Source organism: Homo sapiens, chromosome 14 (assembly GCF_000001405.40).
Source record: "Homo sapiens chromosome 14, GRCh38.p14 Primary Assembly".
NCBI lineage: Eukaryota > Metazoa > Chordata > Mammalia > Primates > Hominidae > Homo > Homo sapiens.
This window is the reverse complement of record NC_000014.9, coordinates 61,584,061-61,602,059: the sequence shown is the minus strand read 5'-3', so window position 1 is coordinate 61,602,059 and position 17,999 is coordinate 61,584,061. Positions and strand designations below refer to the sequence as shown.

Below are 17,999 nucleotides of genomic sequence, written 5' to 3'. Positions count from 1 at the left end.
ATAATCCTGGCTCCTCTGCTAAGAGCCTGGAAACTCTAATCTCACACTGATAGCCATTTATATTTGCCCATCTGGATGGGAGCAATTTGTAATCTCTTCCTAAAGAGAAAGAAGAGGCACAGGTGATTCTACAAGTAGGGGTAATCTCTGAGAACGCAGAAATGCTGACGCTAAGAATGGGAGAGAGGTTTAGAGAAGGCACTGGCCTGCAGGGGATAACATTTTACAAGCAAAGGAGAAGGAAGAAAATTGTTAAAATGTGATTTTACAGGGAATGTAAGAGACTTATATATAGTCATTATAAGATGCGTAAAGAGGCTGGGTGCGGTGGCTCAGCCTGCAATCCCAGTACTTTTGGAGGCCGAGGTGGGTGGATCACGAGGTCAGGACTTCAAGCCCAGGCTGGCCAAGATGGTGAAACCCTGTCTCTAGTAAAAATACAAAAATCAGCCAGGCATGGTGGCGGGCGCCTGTAATCCCAGCTACTCGGGAGGCTCAGGCAGAGAACTGCTTGAACCCGGGAGGCAGAGGTTGCAGTGAGCTGAGATTGCGCCACTGCACTCCAGCCTGGGCAACAGAGCGAGATTCCGTCTCAAAAAAAAAAAAAGAAAGATGTGTAAAGATTCTTGGAAATAGATGTTAGAAGGGAAAAAAGTTTCATTATAAATTATAATATGTGAATACCTTAATATGTAGACATTATACAGATAGTATTTCAAATTAGTAGGGAAAATAAAGATTATTTATTAAGTGTTGGAAATAACTGGTAAGCCATCTGGAAAAAAATAAAATTGTATCCAAACCTAAAACTTTAAATCAGGATAAATTTCAGACAGATTAAATAAATAAAAGTAAAAAGTAAACCTGGCTGGGCACAGTGGCTCACGCCTGTAATCCCAGCACTTTGGGAGGCCAAGGCAGGTGGATCACTTGAGGTCAGGAGTTTGAGACCAGCCTGGCCAACATGGCGAAACCCCATCTCTACTAAAACCACAAAAATTAGTTGGGCATGGTGGCGCCTGCCTGTAATCCCAGCTACTCAGGAGGCTGAGGGACGAGAATTGCTTGACCAGGGAGACAGAGGCCGCAGTGAGCCAAGATTGCACCGTTGCACTCCAGCCTGGATGACAGAGCGAGACTGTTTCAAAAAACAAACAAACAAAAAACCCTAAATGAGTAAAAAGGAAGCCATAGGATAGTATTTTTTATAATCTTAGACTAAGAAAGTCCTGACTGAAAACACAGAAGCCATAATAATAAATTTATTTATTTATTTTTAAGACAGGTTCTGGTTTGGTCACCCAGGCTGGAGTGCAATGGTGTGATCATAGCTCACTGTAACCTCGAGAACTCCTGGGCTCCAGCAATCCTCTTACCTCATCCTCCTGAGTAGCTAGGGCTACAGGTGCACGCCACCACAACTGGCTTTTTTTTTTTTTTTTTTTTTTTTTTTGTAGAGATGAAATCTAACTATGTTGCCCAGGCTGGCCTTAAACTCCTGGGCTCAAGAGATCCTCCTGCCTTGGCCTCTCAAAGTGCTGGGATTACAGGCAAAAATAAATAAATAAATAAAAGAGAATTTAAAAAATGTTAATTGTAAAGTTAAAAGATAAAAAACAAACTTGGGGAAATATGAGCAACTAAAGTCACAGATAAATCACTAATTTTCCTCTTGTATATGGGGTCCTTATGAAGCAATAAGAAAAAGACCAATAACATGCTAAATAAAAATGACTAAGAGTACAAACGCTTTATAGAAATACAAATTACCTTCAAATATATGAATAGATTCTGAATCTCACTCATAATATAAGAAATACAAATTAAAACTATACTGAGATACTATTATTTACCTAACACATTAAGGTAACAAAGGTTTTAAAAAAAAAAGGTTGGCAACACACTGTATCAGCAAAGGTGTGAGGAAATAGGTACTTTCCACATTACTGAGAAGGCTTTAACTTGGTACAATCTCTAAGAGGGGAAATGTAGCAATTTCTGACAAAATTGCAAATGTTCATATCCTTGTACCCAGCACCTCCCATTCTAGGACTTTATTCTTGATGCAAATTTGCTGATATATAAAATAATACATTAATTGTAGCATAATTTGTAGTAGTAAAATTTGGAACAACATGAATGTCCATCTATAGGGGAACTGGATAAATAAGGTATGCTTTATTCATGCAATCGAGTGTAGTGTAGTCATAACAAAGAATAAGGTAGTTCTTAATGTACGGATACAGGACATTCTTCAGATGCTAAGTAAAAATATCAAGGTGCAGAACAGTGTGTGTAGTATGCTACCCCTTCTGTAAAAATTTTCACAAAAGAATATCTGTATGTACTTATATATTTTAATATGTCTAAATTACTCTGGATGGGTTAATAAGAATCTAGAACTTGGTTTTCCCCAGGATAGGAAACTTGGTCTCTGAGGGCTATGGATGGAAGGAAGTTTCCTTATCGTATATCCTTTTGTACATCTGAATTTTAAACCATGTGACGATATTTTCTAATAAAAATGAATTAAACTATAAAATATCTTTAGGAAACTACACATATTTTTAAAACCTCAGTGCCCTTAGATGGAAGGTTGTTTGCTAGCGAATGACTTTTCATGAGGTGGGAAAGATAAGAGAGAGCCTGGTTAGCTTTTAAAGAACATAGTTGGAGAGTTTTCCCAATAGAGAAAAGAAAACACACAACCCTTCTCCGATTATCAGTGCTTCCTCCCATGCCTTGGCTATAAAAAGCTTTTCTCCTTTGCTTTGCTCACAGAGCCACACATTTCCTGCCTCTCAGCTGTCTGTGCTTGCTGATGTCTGACCTAAATGACCTTAACAGAGCCAACCAGGGTGACAGTGGCACTACTGAGAAATGCCTGAAACTTCTCTTTGAAAGCCCAATGCTGGGTAAGCTACTACTACTGAAGCACATGTGCACTTGTGTGCTATTTAGTGTGCCTGTGCTCTTTCCTTTTTATGAGTTTTCTGAGGATTCAGTCAGTTAACATCAAAGGGCTCCTGTACATTTAACTTCTCTCTTAAGCTGGTGCTCCAGAAACTGCTCATTTTCCCTTAAAGAAGTCAGATGCTGGAGATCTAGAACAGAGAGGACCAAACTTTTATTAATCCTGTGTTTGCCATCTTTGACAAACTCTCACTGTGACCATCTTCCTCCAGCATGGTTTTAGGGCTATACACCTTTGTTCTAGTCTCAGTTTTCTATTAATTAGTTTTGGGTCTAGTCTTGCCTTAGTCTCAGCTCTGCTAGCTATGTTAACATTGAACAAGTCAATTTATGCTTTTGGAACTCATCTGTGAAATTAGGAGATTAAAATAGAAAATGTTTAGGTCTATCCACATCTGAAACTCAAGGACATGGTGGGTGGGGGGTGGGGGAATTCCCTCCTCTAGCACATCTCCAAAGTAAATAAATTGACATTGCTTTTTCTATAAAAAGTGGCAGTCATTATTCTAAAAGCTTGAGGAGGCTTTGGAATGAGAACTTTCAATCCGCATAGTCAAAATAATACATAGTTCTAAAAGACTAACATACACGGCTACAGGACTTCAGGCAAGTAAAAAGACAAGTGACAGAAGAACTCAAGGATCTGCAAAAATTTAGAGTATGGCAAAGAAGGCACTTCAAATCATTAGAAAGACTATGTGGACTATTCGGTCCAAAGGTTATTGGGACAACTTGTTGACAAGTTAAGAAAAAATCTAGATTCCCTACCTCACTCCACACATCAAATAAATCCCAAATGGCTTAAAAATAAAAATGTAGAAAACAAAAGATAATCAAAAAGTATAGGTAAAAAAATTACATCATTTTGGAATTAGGAATTCCTTTCTAAGCATTATTTAATAAGAAACATTAAAGAAATCATTGAATACTGGCCACTTAAAACTTCTATGTATCTAAACCACATACCATAAGTTATGAAAAACTGAAAAAGAATTCACAACATATATGACGGCAAAAGGTTAATAGTTTTGAATTATGAAGAACTCTTGGAAATCTATGAAAAGGTAAAATACAGTTAAAACATGGTCAGACGAGTTACACAAAAAAGGAGAAATGCAAATGGCCAACATGAAAGCTATTTCACCTCACTAGTATAAAGAAAATGCCAATAAAAATAAAAATGAAAATGCCTTTTAACTTATAAAACTGAAAAACGTTTAAAAGAATGATAATAACTAGTGCTGATGAAGGCATGAGATAATAGGTACTTTCACACACTTTAAAGGGAATGTAAATTGAGTCACGCTTTCTGGAGGGCAATTTAGCAAATTTAAATAGTATTTTAAAATGTATATACTCACATTTAAATGTTCACATCTAAGAATTTATCCCAAGGAAATAGCAGGGTAAATGCATAAAAATGCCTGTACAAGAATGTTCTTTAGCACATCATTTATCATAACAAAACATTGGCAAACCTAAAGATTTGTCAAACGAGAACAGAAAGCTATGAAATAATTTTAAAAGATGGACAGAGATGTCTTCAATATATTAAGTGAAACAAGAGATTATGTAATGGAATATACAGTATGATCATATTTACATATATTTTATGAAAACCAAATGTTAATAACTATCATATCTGGATGTTTTGAATAATAGGCATTATTACTTTACTTTCTGCTTATGCTTATTTTATTTTCTCATTATTCAAAAATAATGAGGATGTATTATTTTTATCATTAGGAGAAACAATAAAACCATAACTCTCCTTCCAAAACTCACGAATGAGCCTTAGAGATGAAAAGAAAACAATTGCAAATGAGCGATGCAAATATTTCCATGACAAAGTTCTTGTTACCATAGCAAAGTGACCATAGGAATAATGTTTAAGACTAAACATCTGTGTCTGTCAAATGTCTCGGTAAGATTTGCTTCCTCTACTGCAGATGGAAAGCTGAATTTTCCAGTGACTGTCCCATGAAGTTGCCACTTCACAAGGTGGGTTCCAGCAATCATATTTTGAACAAGATCCGACATGGTCTTTGGCCTCCATTTTCCACAGAGAAAAGACGTCTGAGTCAGAAGCAGGCTACAGTTGACTTTCTGTCTATCTCACTCCCTTTATCCACCCACCTCCAATCTCATTCCCTCCTTTTCTTCCTTTATCTTTTTCTTCTCTCTTCCCCCTCCTTCTTCTCTGCCTCTTTTTCTTTCTTTTCATGCATTCTTTCATCAGACATTTCCTGAGAGCTTTTCAGGATAGGAAGCACTGTTCTGGGCACAGAAAGCAACTTCAGGTTTCATCATGGGAGCGTGGGAAATAGTACTTTTCAAGGCCAAATAGTACCAGGATTTGGGGATTTACTTTACTTAATACTGAAATGCTTGGATTGATACTGTTATTATAGTTTTAAATATTCAGAATTCATAAACTTTAAAGCTTCAGTAAAATGATATGTACAGTACTTTTTAAGAGCACACATTTATAGCACACATTAAAACCTGTTTCAAAACATGAAGCAAATGTGTATCTTTATAAAGGTATAAGCATAAACGTACAGTCTTACGCTATTACAAATCAGCAAATGAAAAAGAATATGAAAAATAGTACTCATAAAATGAAAATTTGATTAACTTGAAAAAAGCTATCATTGAAATACTACAGTAGCAATATACATTTGACTGTTTTTAACAGCACAATTTTTAAAGCAAAGTGCTTCAATGCATTGCCAGCTTAGTTTTATGCAAATTGTTCCAACTGTTGAAAATCCTCTTTCCAACTCTGTGCTAGTGAGTGAACAGTGAAGAGATAGTATGGATTAACTGTAAATTATTTCCCTCTGGCTGGGCGCGGTGGCTCACGCCTGTAATCTCAGCACTTCGGGAGGCTGAGGTGAGTGGATCACCTGAGGTCAGGAGTTTGAGACCAGCCTGGCCAACATGGTGAAACCCCGTCTCTACTAAAAATACAAAAACTAGCTGGGCATGCTGGAGGGGTACCTGTAATCCCAGCTGCTCGGGAGGCTGAGGCAGGAGAATCACTTGAACCTGGGAGGTGGAGGTTGCAGTGAGCCGAGATCACACCACTACACTCCAGCCTGGGTGACAGAGTGAGACTCTGTCTCCAAAAAAAAAAAAAAAAAAAAAAATTATTTCCCTCTGACTCATTCATCTTCAAATTATATGATTTCTTGCTTTACACCAAAGGAGTTGTGGGGATTCTCAGGAGTTGTGTATGCGTGTGTGTTGTGGTATGTGTGTAGTGTATGGTGAGTGTGTGTGTGTACATGTATATGTGTGTGTGTGTGTAAAGTATCTGTGTGTATGTATGTACACATGGTATGGGTGAGTGTGGGTATTTACGTGTGGATAACTGTGTGGTATGTGTGAATGTTGAGGGAGCTGTGTATGTGTTTGTATGTGGCATGTGTGGTGAGTAGGCGTGGATTACCACGTGTGGTCTATGTGCCTATGTGTGTGGTCTGGGTGTATATGATGTCTGGGCGTCTTGGGTGGGATTCTTGCAGAGAATGGCCAAGCTCTCAAACTCTGCAGTTGGACTCTGAATGTGGATCTTTCTCCACCTAATTTTGGCTAACTGTGATCAGAAGGCTGGGTTCAGTGTTTTGTTTACACTTGCAGGGGCAAATTGCCCTAAGACCAACAGCACTAGTTGGTCCAAGGACTAGAGGCCCAAGGACTGATAAAGAGTGTCTCCAAGTCACTCTTGCGGCTGCAGAAGGGGACCTGCCTTGCTGGAAAGAGGCCTCCAGGAGACTCTGGGCAGCCCCAGTGGATGTCAGAGAACCAGGACTGGAGGGTGCCTCAGAGAGTATCCAGACTAGCACTTGTCAACCTGAGGACTTCACATTTTAGTGGGTAGTAAAATCCATTTACTGGATATCTAAGAGCTATTTGGAAGAATAGAATGAAATGGAATAGAACAGACTAGAATGAAAATAGTGTACATTGTACTAGTAAGAATAAGTACAGATTCCTGGAACTTTTGTTTCAATACTCTCTCACTTTGTGTGTGTGTGTGTGTGTGTGTGTGTGTGTGTGTGTGTGTGTGTGTGCTGGGTTATGATGTAAGATGAATTTGTCATCATTGGTTGTAGTTATTTTACATTTTTATTTTACAGTGAGAAAACAGAGGGTAACTGAGGTAAAGTGATCTGCCTTCTAAGGTCACAGTGAATTATAGGAAGAGTCTTTCCATGACAGCACATGTTCCAAGAGCCAAAAATGAGTCACTAGAAAGGACCAGAATAGTGACTTCTCTCTTTCTTTAGTGGAAAGAGAGAAGTCAGTTTTAGTCTTTATTTGGGGGAAATACTATTGCTTCTCAAAATATTTAAACTTGTTACAATTTGCAAAGGAGGGAATTAAATAAGTTGAGAGGTGTTTAAAGTCCCCTTTGAGTTTGATCATTCTAAGTTCTATTATTTTAAGGAGGTCAGAGAGAGAGAGAGAGAAATAAAGAATGTAGGTGACTCAGTTGTGGTCTGTGGGGAAAACCATTGTTATCTAGAAACAGTGAATATGAGTTCAAGGTTTCCCTTTGTCACTGTGGGTGCTGGGGCAAGTCATTGGCCATCTCCCCACAACTACTACATTCTTCCCATTTCACAGATGTCTTGCAGCAGTCCAATGTGCTCATGCATGTGAAATCCTTGGAAAAGCACAACAGTGAGGCAAGAGCTGCTGTCAGTGATTCCCATTCTGGTCTTTGCATCCCATCTTGGAGCCAGTCTTTGCAGTGCCGGGTATGGACACCTAAGACCCACCTGGGCACCTTTCATTGACCTACACAGGGTGACTTAATGTGCTTCTTACCCAGCTGAGAATTTGAGTTAATTATTACATATTTAAGGGGTTTTTCCAGTTAGAAACATGCAATGATAAGATTCTTCCAGGAGCATTAAAATCAAAACAAAACCTTGGACTGAGTGAAACCTTATGTCCTGATTTTGTCAGCCATTGTATCTGCCCACATAATGACCCTTGTAGCCAGAACTCCCCTGCCCACCTCTCCAGTCTATATCTTGACCACTGTCCCTGTCACTCTGAGTCCAGTTCCAGACACAATGGGCTTCTCTGAGGTCTTCCAATATTCCATGCTTCCTCTTTGCCTTTGCATATGCTGTTCCCTCAGCCTGGAAATCTCTTCCCTCCTCCTCTTCCCTCTTAATACACATGCTCAGCCATCAGATCTCAGCTGAACTGTTACCCTTCAGAGGCCAAGTTCTAAGCCCTGTGATAAGCTTCATAGCACGGTGAACCTTGCCTTTGAGTTATAAATATAATTTTACATTCATCTGTGGATCGTTTGATTTATGTTCATCTCCTCAACTAGAAAATAAGCTCTATGAGGGCAGGCGGGTTTTCTGTGTTTACCTCCTGCTGTATCCCCAGAAGCAGGAGAGTGTCTATCACATTGTTAGGTGCTCAAAAATGGTATGCTGAATAAATTAATATGTCCGTGGGTCTATAGCTCACACTCAGAAGGCACATATTTCCTGCCCATTTCTGCTCAAGTTACATGATAGGCGCTGAATAAACAAGGCTGTTCTTGAGCAATTTATTTGAATGTCTTAAATATGACTACAGATGCTTCTTCTGGAGAAAGTCTGCCTCAATCTAAACCTCTTTATTGCAGGAAGATTCTATATTCTCAGTATTTTTGCATTTTTCTGCATTTTTCTGACTAACCAACCATTTTAGATGCTGCAGGCTCTTCCTCCTGCTCTGTAACCCCTCAGTAACTGAGCGGGGAGGGAATGGGAGTGACCCCCGGTTTACTATCTTCTTTTCATTTCTCACTCACTGTATACAGTGGAGATTCCAAACCAGTTGGCATTGGTCTGATAGGTACCACCCCGTTACTTGGATTCATTAAGCATCTATCTAGGAAGAAGTATTTGGGCACTTGTCCATGAAATATTCAATAAAGAACATTTGTGTAGCATTTCACACAGCACCCCAGCCTATATTACTTGATTTTAACTTCACAATACTATTGTGAGAAGATAGCGTTTTCCAAATTTTACACACAAAACCCAAATACTTTTTAAGTTACTTGTCCAAGGTCACACAGCAAGTATTTTTAAGAGCAGGACTCAAACCTGGTTCTTTCAATTTCAGTATTTTATGTTAATATATAACATGCCCTTGGTACCTATGTTTGGCAGACTCCATAACACATCATATTTATTCCTTATATTTTACAGCATTTCTTTTTTTCCAGATGTGCTATGTTAATTCATGTGATACAATAACTTTCTGAGGTAGGTGGGGCAAGTACTCATCTCATTTTTACAGATAAGTGAGTAGGTTTCCAGTGGCTAAATGACACATATCATTAGTAGAATGGCTCAAGATAAATTTCGGTTCTCTGCTGTCCAGGTGACTACCTGTGGTAGACAGAATGGCTCCCCAAAGATGTTTAACTCCTAACTCCCAAAACCTGTGAATATGTTACCTTACATGGCAAAAGGGACTTTGAAGATGTGGCTAATTTAAGAGCCTTGAGATAGAGAGATTATCCTGAATTATCTGGGTGGGGTTGGTGTAATCACAGGGGTTCTTATAAGAGGGAGGCAGGTGGGTCAGAGTCGGGGAATGAGCTATGATGATGGAAGCAGGGGTCATAGTCAGAGAGACAGTGGGCGAGCTTTGAAGATGCTATGCCACCAGCTTTGAAGGTGGAGGAAGGAGCCACAAGCCAAGGGATGGAGGTAGCCTCTAGAAGCTGGGAAAGGCAAGGAAACAGGTACTTCCCTGCAGCCTCTGGGAGGCAAAGGCCCCGCAGACATCTTGATGCTAGGATTTCTGAGTTCCAGAACTATAAGGTAGTACATTTGTGTTGCTTTAAGCTACTAAGTTGTGGTAATTTGTTACAGCAGAAATAGGGAACTAATACACCACTCTGAACAATGACTGACCTCAGCAGAGTAGGAGACAGTCAGACTATTTCCCGTACACCCAAAACCCCAGGCCTGGAGGGAGGGGCTGGGGCAGGTCAGGAACAGGTCTTGGGATGCTGAGAGGCCAGTATGCTGCAAGCCTCTGCTGTTTCACAGGGAGATGTGGGGCCTGCTGTTCTTCTCGCTAAAGTCTTCCAGTGGCCTCCCAGGGCATGGGGAGTAAACCCCAAACCCCCTAACACAGCCCACCTTTCTAGCCTCATCTCAGCCCATCTCTCCCTCAGTTACCACACTGCAGATGTTCCTGCCTTCTTCCTGCTGCTAGTCTCACCTTAGAATCTCACAGGGAACCTTCTGATCACCTCCTCAGAGAGCATTTACCTGACCACCTCTCCAAAGTGTCCCCCAGTCATTCTCTGACAACTACTTTTATTGTCTTTATAATGCCCGGTAATACCCGTGACTTTATTTTTAAATATATTTTTTAATTTTTAGTTCTGGGGTACATGTGCAGGATGTGCAGGTTTGTTACACAGGTAAACATGCGCCATAGTGGTTTATTGCACCTGTCGACTCATCACCTAGGTATTAAGCCCAGCATACATTAGCCATCTTTTCTAATACTCTCCCTCCCCCCACCCCATCCCCCAACAGGCCCCAGTGTTGTTCACTCATGTTGTCTGTGTCCCTCAATAAAATGTATACCCATGAGAACTATCCATGTCACGGCTCTGTCCCAAGTGCCTGAGTATGTTTCCCATTCAAAAAGTATTTGTTGAATGGATGAATAGACCTGAGGCAGCCTTCCAACAGGAGCACCTGCTTTCTTCCGGCATCATCTCTAGCCCTGCAAGAGGAGCTTCTGCTTAGATAGGAATGCTGAGAACCATCAGAATCTTTTCTCTGCAGGATTCCTGGCTGCCTTTAGACATAAGCCTGGCGCTCACATCTGGGCCATGGTGTGCTCCTGTTGAACATAATTTCCATAGAACACCAACATCAGATACAGCCGCTCTGTGACTGTAATGGAGCAAAAGAAAACAAGATGATCCCATAATCATGTCTAGACCCAGACAAAAATAAGAACATTGTCCGAACCACAAGAATGACCAAAGATGCTCCTTTCCTGGCTAATATGAGCAACTTCTGCTTCTTTATTAATTACACCTTTAGCCTCATCTCATTCCTTCTGCCTTCTAGGTAAGAATTATTAAGATACCCAGTCCTAGAATTACCTCTGCTTCCTGATAACATCCAAAATCCAGAGCAATCTCCCACTTCCCTGAATCCTCCCCAGTATCACCTAAGCCCAAATCCTACAAGAAGTCCTTTATCACATCCTCTTACTGAGCTGCCCCATGGCTCCCCGTGCTATCTGTGTGTTATTCCTCATTGCAACTAGTCCATAAACCCAACATTGTCTGACTTCAGTTCTCTAGCAGGAGGACTGGAGGACTGACTTCAGTTCTCTAGCAGGAGGATTGGCAAAGTGGACTGGAAGGCAGGCCCAACTTTTTTGCTATCTGTGAGGGAGAAATCCTAATTGGGCCAACTGGTCAGCTAGAAAATCCTGAACTGCTTTGCCAATGAAACAATAATACTGGATGCATCCGGGTGCACATTACCCAACTGGCACAAGACAGAGGCTGGTGGGGTTCCTGGTGGAGCTGCTTCCTTATAGGTGCATGGCAGGAAGGGGCCCAGCAGGTGCAGCTGTGGCCTGCCTGGCTGGCCTCAGAGGTGCCTCTGCCCAAGCCACAGCTGCTCCCCACTGCTAATCTATCCAAGTCAATCTCAACACAGTTCGAAAGCCCCTCCTGCTTGCACTCATTTCCTGTGCTTCTTACATTCCCCCTCAGACTCTTCTCCCTGCCTGAGCTAATCTTGTTGATCCCCCCACCACCTCCCGCCTCCACGCCGCCCCACAGCCTGCACCTCTGTCACAGGTCTGTGCATCTGCACCAGCGGGGGTCTGGCCTCTGGCCTCCGTCCGCTTTTAAAGCCTTGCTTGATGATTAACCCACATCTTCCCCAAAGGCTTCTTGGCTGAGCCCAGTTGGCTGCCCAAGTTGATAGCAGCTGCTGTCAACATTTACAAAGGGAGCTCCAGTGATGGTAGCTGACTGGGGTGATTTACGGGGTTTGGCCGTGGTGGGAGTGGGGTTCACATAATTCATCTCCACACGTAGAGCCTCAACTTCCCCAGGGCAGAGGTTTTTTTCTTTTCCCCCTGGGTTTTTGACCACTTCCTCCCCAGTACCCAGAAGCTGAAAAGCCAGTGCTCAGCACTCCAGAGGCTCAGTGCCCTATGAGAAGGCCAGTCAAGAAGAGACTGTCTCCTACAGGACTGGGGAATGATACCTGCTTCTCAGGTGATCAATGCCTGCCGCTGGCAGGAATTGTCAGGGATTCTAGAAGCATGTCCATTATCTTGATGGGCCCAAGTTGTTTGTTCCTAACTCTGAGCTTCATGGCTTTCTATCCACAAAATCTTGATCCTGGGATATTTTTATTTCTCAATCTAGACATCTGCCAGCCTGTCTGACTACTGCAGGGCCCAGCTCACTTTAGTTAGGGGTGACAGTTAATCTCTGATGTCTTTCTCATCAACCTCCTCAGGTAAACATGATGACTCTTTAGAGAGCAAGGTCAAAATTACATCCAAACAGATTTATATTAAAGGAGGGTATTGGGATAAAGGATGCTCTATTACCTTACAGAGAACCAGGTTAATCTAAATGCACAGACGTGGGGAAATGCCCAAGATAGGATGTTAAGTGAAAAAAGCAAAGGTTGCAAAATAATATACACATCATGAGCTTATGTTTATACGCATCTATTTGCATGATTTTTATGTACAGGAAGAGTTAAAAGGATATTTACCAAACTGTTCCATAGCAGTAGTTATGAAAGGGCTTTCAATATTTAACCTTTCTAAATAATTTCGATTCTTTTACAAAGTTATATTTGTTATTTTGCAATCACTCAAAAATAATTTTTTAAAAACAGGGATTTGGGATAGCAGCTCTTACTTTCATCCCATTTAATTATATTTTTAAAATCTACAAAAAATACACAATTTTGCTTCACCTTTTAAAACATACTACTTAAATGAGGCTTTATGTATATCTTCATTGTTTAAATGTTTATCATTTCCGATTTATTCTTTACTTTTTAAATATCTCAAAGCACTTTGGATGTCCCACAAGCTTCGTACTGATGCTGTCCTGTGGAAATCCGAGAAGGCATGATTCTAAACCCCTCAGAAAAACAGCTCCTTGGGGAAATGGTCGAGCGGCAGTTATTCATTGTATTCTTTCAACATACATTATTGAGTGCTACTGAGTACCAGGCTGTGTGCTTGATGCCAGGGCCTAAACAGTTGACAAAAAAGGAATTGCAATTTAAAGGAAACACTCTAGGCTCTTCGGGTGCCCTGGAGCCACAGGCTTGCCCCAACAGTGTAGGGTAGTGGGAACCCAGCACCTCTGCCTAATGGCCTCAGGAGCTTATGCCAGTTAGGGATTGGGTCAGATGCTAATAACAATTGCCAAAAATAACACAGGCTTAAGTAAGATAGTTTATTTTTCTTTCATTTAAACAAGCAAGTCTGGAGCTCGGCAGTCCAAGGTTGCTACAGCAAGTCACGGTCACCAGGGACCAGACTCCCCTTGCCTTTCTCAAGGTCACAAGTTGGTGCTAGAGCCTTAGCCGTCTTGTCTTCATTTCAGGCAAGAACCAGGAAGAAGAGGAAAGAGCTTAGAAACTCCAAGTAAATAGCCTATACCCCTTTTAAGAAGCTTTTTTGGAAGTCTGACCCAATGATCTGTTTCCATCTTATGGGCCATAGCTGCCTGCCAGGGAGACTGGAAAATAGAGACTTTTAGCCAGCCACACTGCCTGGCCATGTAAAGTTAAAAAGTGCCTTTTAAATACTAGGTGGGCAACCAGCAGTTCCTGCCCCAGGGTGATAGATGAAAAGGTGAGTTTTCAAAGATGAAGGCCTCAGACCTGGAGGGTATTTAGATTTGGAAGTAAAATGGTTCAAGAAGTGACATAAAGAAAGGAGGAGAGAGAAATTTATTCAACAAAGACTGATTGAGAGTCTAGGGTCTGCAGGTACTCCAGGTAACAAAGGGAAAGAAGACCCCACTCTTGGCCTCAAAGTCCAGTGGGGGTGGACATCTCACCAAATACTAAGGAATTAAATAAGATAATACTTGTAAAGCTTTCAAATGTCACCTCTCTTTTGAAGTCTTCCTCAAAGTTAGTCATTTTTTTGCTTAAGAATTCAACAGCACAGTTTTCATATCTAAATCCTAACAACTGGCTGGGGTTCTTTGTAATTTTATATGACTGTCACCCCCATTTTCCTTTGCTACCTGGAGTACCTGCACACTCTAGACTCTCCATCAGTCTTTGTTGAATAAATTTCTCTCTCCTTCTTTCTTTATGTCACCTCCTGAACCATTTTACTTCCAAATCTAAATACCCTCCAGGTCTGAGGGCTTCATCTTTGAAAAGTCACCTTTAGGCTCTGGTCTTCTCAGGCTTGAGACAGAGTGAAAAGAGCACATAGGACTGGCCTCAAGTCATCTGCTTTGTGCCTTATCTGCTGTGTGGCATTAGAATAATTGCTTACCCTCTCTGAACTGCAGTTTTCTTCTCTAGGAAGTGGGGATACTATTAGTGACCGTTCGTGTGATGTGAGGATTGAATGAATGAGTTCAGCATGTATCTGGCATGGAGCAGCACTCAGTAGACAGTAGCATCTTTGGTTTTCTTTTCTTGTTATAGTTTCCTTCCTACTCTAATAGAGCATGTCCAGACAAGTTAAAAGTAGTTAGCAATCTTTTGAGCTCTTCCTATGTGCCAGGTCTTCTTCTTCATTTAGTCCTGGCAATAGGACCTGAGGTAGTAGTACCTGAGGTAGGTACCACTGTAATCATCCCCATTCTACAGAGGAGGATACCGAGGCTCAGAGAATCACCCAGCTAGAGGACAGACGCAGGGCCGTAGTCTTCTGGCCACAGAGGTCATGCTTCTAACTGCTACACAACACTGCTTTTCATGTTGCACTTGGCAACTGTTAGCCTCAGCTTGTCTACCATGACTTCTTCCACTGTCCAGTCATTGACAATTTCCCTGGGTGCTCCAGAGCCCACATCACTCCAGGGATAGGCCAGGAGGAGTCTGGGTCAGTGTAAGAGCTTAAAAGTCCCCGCAGAACCCTGGCATCTACACACTCCCCAGAGAACGTTATAAAAAGTTCAGCTTCAGAGTATGAGAACAGCTGTGACCTCAGTCCAGTTGTCATCGTAAGAGGCACCCTTACCTTATGAGAATCCAGCCTCTGAAAAATTCAAAATTATATATATATATATAAATCAATGTGTGTGTGGGGGAGGATGATGTACATTACATAAAGATAATTCACTTTATAAAGTGAGTCACCCCGGGCTTCCTTTATTTAGCCATCTTTCCTTGTGCACTTACAGTGATTTAATTTTTTAAACATTCCATTTATATGAAACTTTACAGGGACATGTCTATTAAGCTAAGTGAGATACACCCATGTAATTTCATGAGCTTCATATTGCAAGGAAATTGCTACAAACCCTGTCTGAGAGAACCCTTTCCCTTGTATTTTTCTCTTCCAAATTTTCCCCTGAGGAAAACTTTTTGAATCCTATTATAGGAAGAACATCATTGAAAATCATTCAATTATCACAAAAGAAAGAAGTTAATTTTAGCTGTGCTGGGAGCTTCCACCAACCATTCCCATCCTTTTTTAGCACTGGAAAAGTACAGTTTCTTTTCCTAGAATTTTAAAACGTGGAGAGATCTGGGAATCAGTAGTTAAGGATCTGGCCGCCAGCCAGGGGCAGAATGCTGATGACATCACGGAACTTAGAGGCCAGTAAAGGAAGGGACTGTTCAGAGAGTTGGCCTTCCAAGCAAGGTTGGCCTTGGCTGTTCTGGGCACACTGTACCAGTGGGTGGATTAATGAGGTGCCTTCCTGACCAGGCTGCCAGTGATGGGGCAGAAAATCACCAGCAAGAAAAGGGCAGAAGGCAGAGAGGGAGGAAGGAGAACAGGGGTGAGAGTCTTTAAAACCTTGGAGAGAAGAGTGAAACCTATACTTTCATTACATCTTGTAGTAATTTAAAACCATGCTTGAATGTGAAACAGAATCTTTAGGATGCCAATGACTAGAAGCTACTCAATCACCAGCCTGAACTGAAAAAGAACAAGGAACCTAAGCATTTAAAGCCTTTTAGGAGTGGTCTTCTAGAGGAAACCAGAGCCTGCTGTGAGTTTACATTTCAGGAAAACCTGGCCTGGTGAAGCCTGCCCTGACTCATGCCTATGAGCTGGAGCTGATGTTCATTGCTCGGAAAGGTCGATGTTCCTTCTAAAGCAATGAAACACAGAGCTGGGACCCAGGACTGCTCAGAAATCCCCTGGAAGCTCTTCTGCACAACCCTGTACCTACCTACATCTTTTTCTTTAACTTATTTTTTTTTCTTTTAAAGATAGGTCTCCTTATTTTGTCTAGGCTGGATTCAGATTCCTGGACTCAAGCAATCCCATCCTCCTCATAGTAGGGACTATAGGTGTGCTGGCTTACCTAGGTCTTTAAATAGGGCCTGACTAGGGTGAGGCCAACAGGTGTATAGGGCATAAGATTTAAGGAGGTTCTCACTCTCAGGGCTGTGCAAGTGCAGGGTTGGCTCCTGAGAGTGGCCACCTCCTTAAATTTGCATGCTATACACTTGCCTGGCCTCACTCTCCCTGCCCTGCCTTTCTAACTCCCCATTTAGTAACTCCCAAATTCTAATTGGTTAGGGATGGGGTATGGATATTTTTAAATGCTCCTCAGATAATTCTAACGGGTAGCCAGGATGGGGAGCCACTGCTTTAAGTGAACAAGGGTTGGTGGTAAATTGAAAGAATCCAATTGAAAGCCAAGAATCAATCTTGACTTTATCTTTTTCTATTGTGTTAACTGGGGGAAACAATTCTTATCAAATTCATTTTGGTTCAGTCTGTTCACTAGCAGTCACAAAGGGTCCTGTACAGGGTTGCCAGATAAAAAACAGGACACCCAGTTGAACCGAATTTCAGATAAACAACAAATAATTTTTTAGACTTTTCTGAAATTCAAATTTAACTGGGGATCCTGTATTCTCGTTTGCTAAATCTGGCGACCCTCGTTTCACATGACAAGTCAAATGTGTGGATTTAACTGCATGGGGCAGCATTTCCTAGTTTGTACTACAGAACACACGCTGCAGTAGATATAATGTGTATTATACCAAGAAAAAAAATTTGAGTTTGGCAAACATTGGGTGAAACAAAGTTAACTGGGTTTTTTGACTGTAAAACTTCTCAGAGTCTTTGATATGCAAATGTTCAGTGACCCCTCAAGTTGGAGACTTGTGGAGTTCCCAAACTTACATAACGGGGGACATCTTACATAACTAATGTTCCAGTAAACTTACTGCAGAAAACACTACTGGGAGAGGAGGGGGTGCTATTGAAGGGTTTTAAACAGTCAAGTAACAAGATCAGACTAATGACTGAGGTAGATAATTCCACTTTCAGAAGTACCAACTTGAAAGGAACAAGCACAGAGCCCAGGCAGAAGGCTGTGTTATTTTAAGAGGGCTGCCATGACTAAGTGCCACAGACTGGAGCTTGAACAACAGAAGTGGATTGTCTCACAATCCTGGAATCTGGACTTGTGAGATCAACGTTTGTCACAAGGATTGGTTTCATTTTGAGGACTCCTTCCTAGGTTTGCAGATGGCCGGTTTCTCCCTGTCTTCACATGGTCTTCCCTCTCTGTGCATCTGTGTCCTACTTTCTTCTTATAAGGACATCATGATGGCTCACGCCTGTAATCCCGGCACTTTGGGACGCTGAGGCGGGTGGATCACGAGGTCAAGAGATTGAGACCATCCTGGCCAACATGGTGAAACCCTGTCTCTACTAAAAATACAAAAATTAGCTGGGTGTGGTAGTGCATGCCTGTAGTCTCAGCTACTCGGGAGGCTGAGGCAAGAGAATCGCTTGAACCCAGGAGGTGAAGG

General features: G+C 41.5%; 1 long non-coding RNA gene across 1 annotated transcript in view, besides 1 other annotated feature; it reads right to left on the bottom strand.

The window, feature by feature from the left end:
• LINC03033 (long intergenic non-protein coding RNA 3033) overlaps positions 1–17,999 on the bottom strand; it is an 84,174-nt gene that overhangs the window by 52,654 nt on the left and 13,521 nt on the right. The window lies entirely within an intron of this gene.
• Positions 7,619–7,748: an enhancer, noted in NCBI's record as "active region_8498". NCBI's record gives its function as "activates an Ori minimal core promoter by ATAC-STARR-seq in GM12878 lymphoblastoid cells {active_cell/tissue: GM12878}" and the evidence as "EXISTENCE:reporter gene assay evidence [ECO:0000049][PMID:35858748]".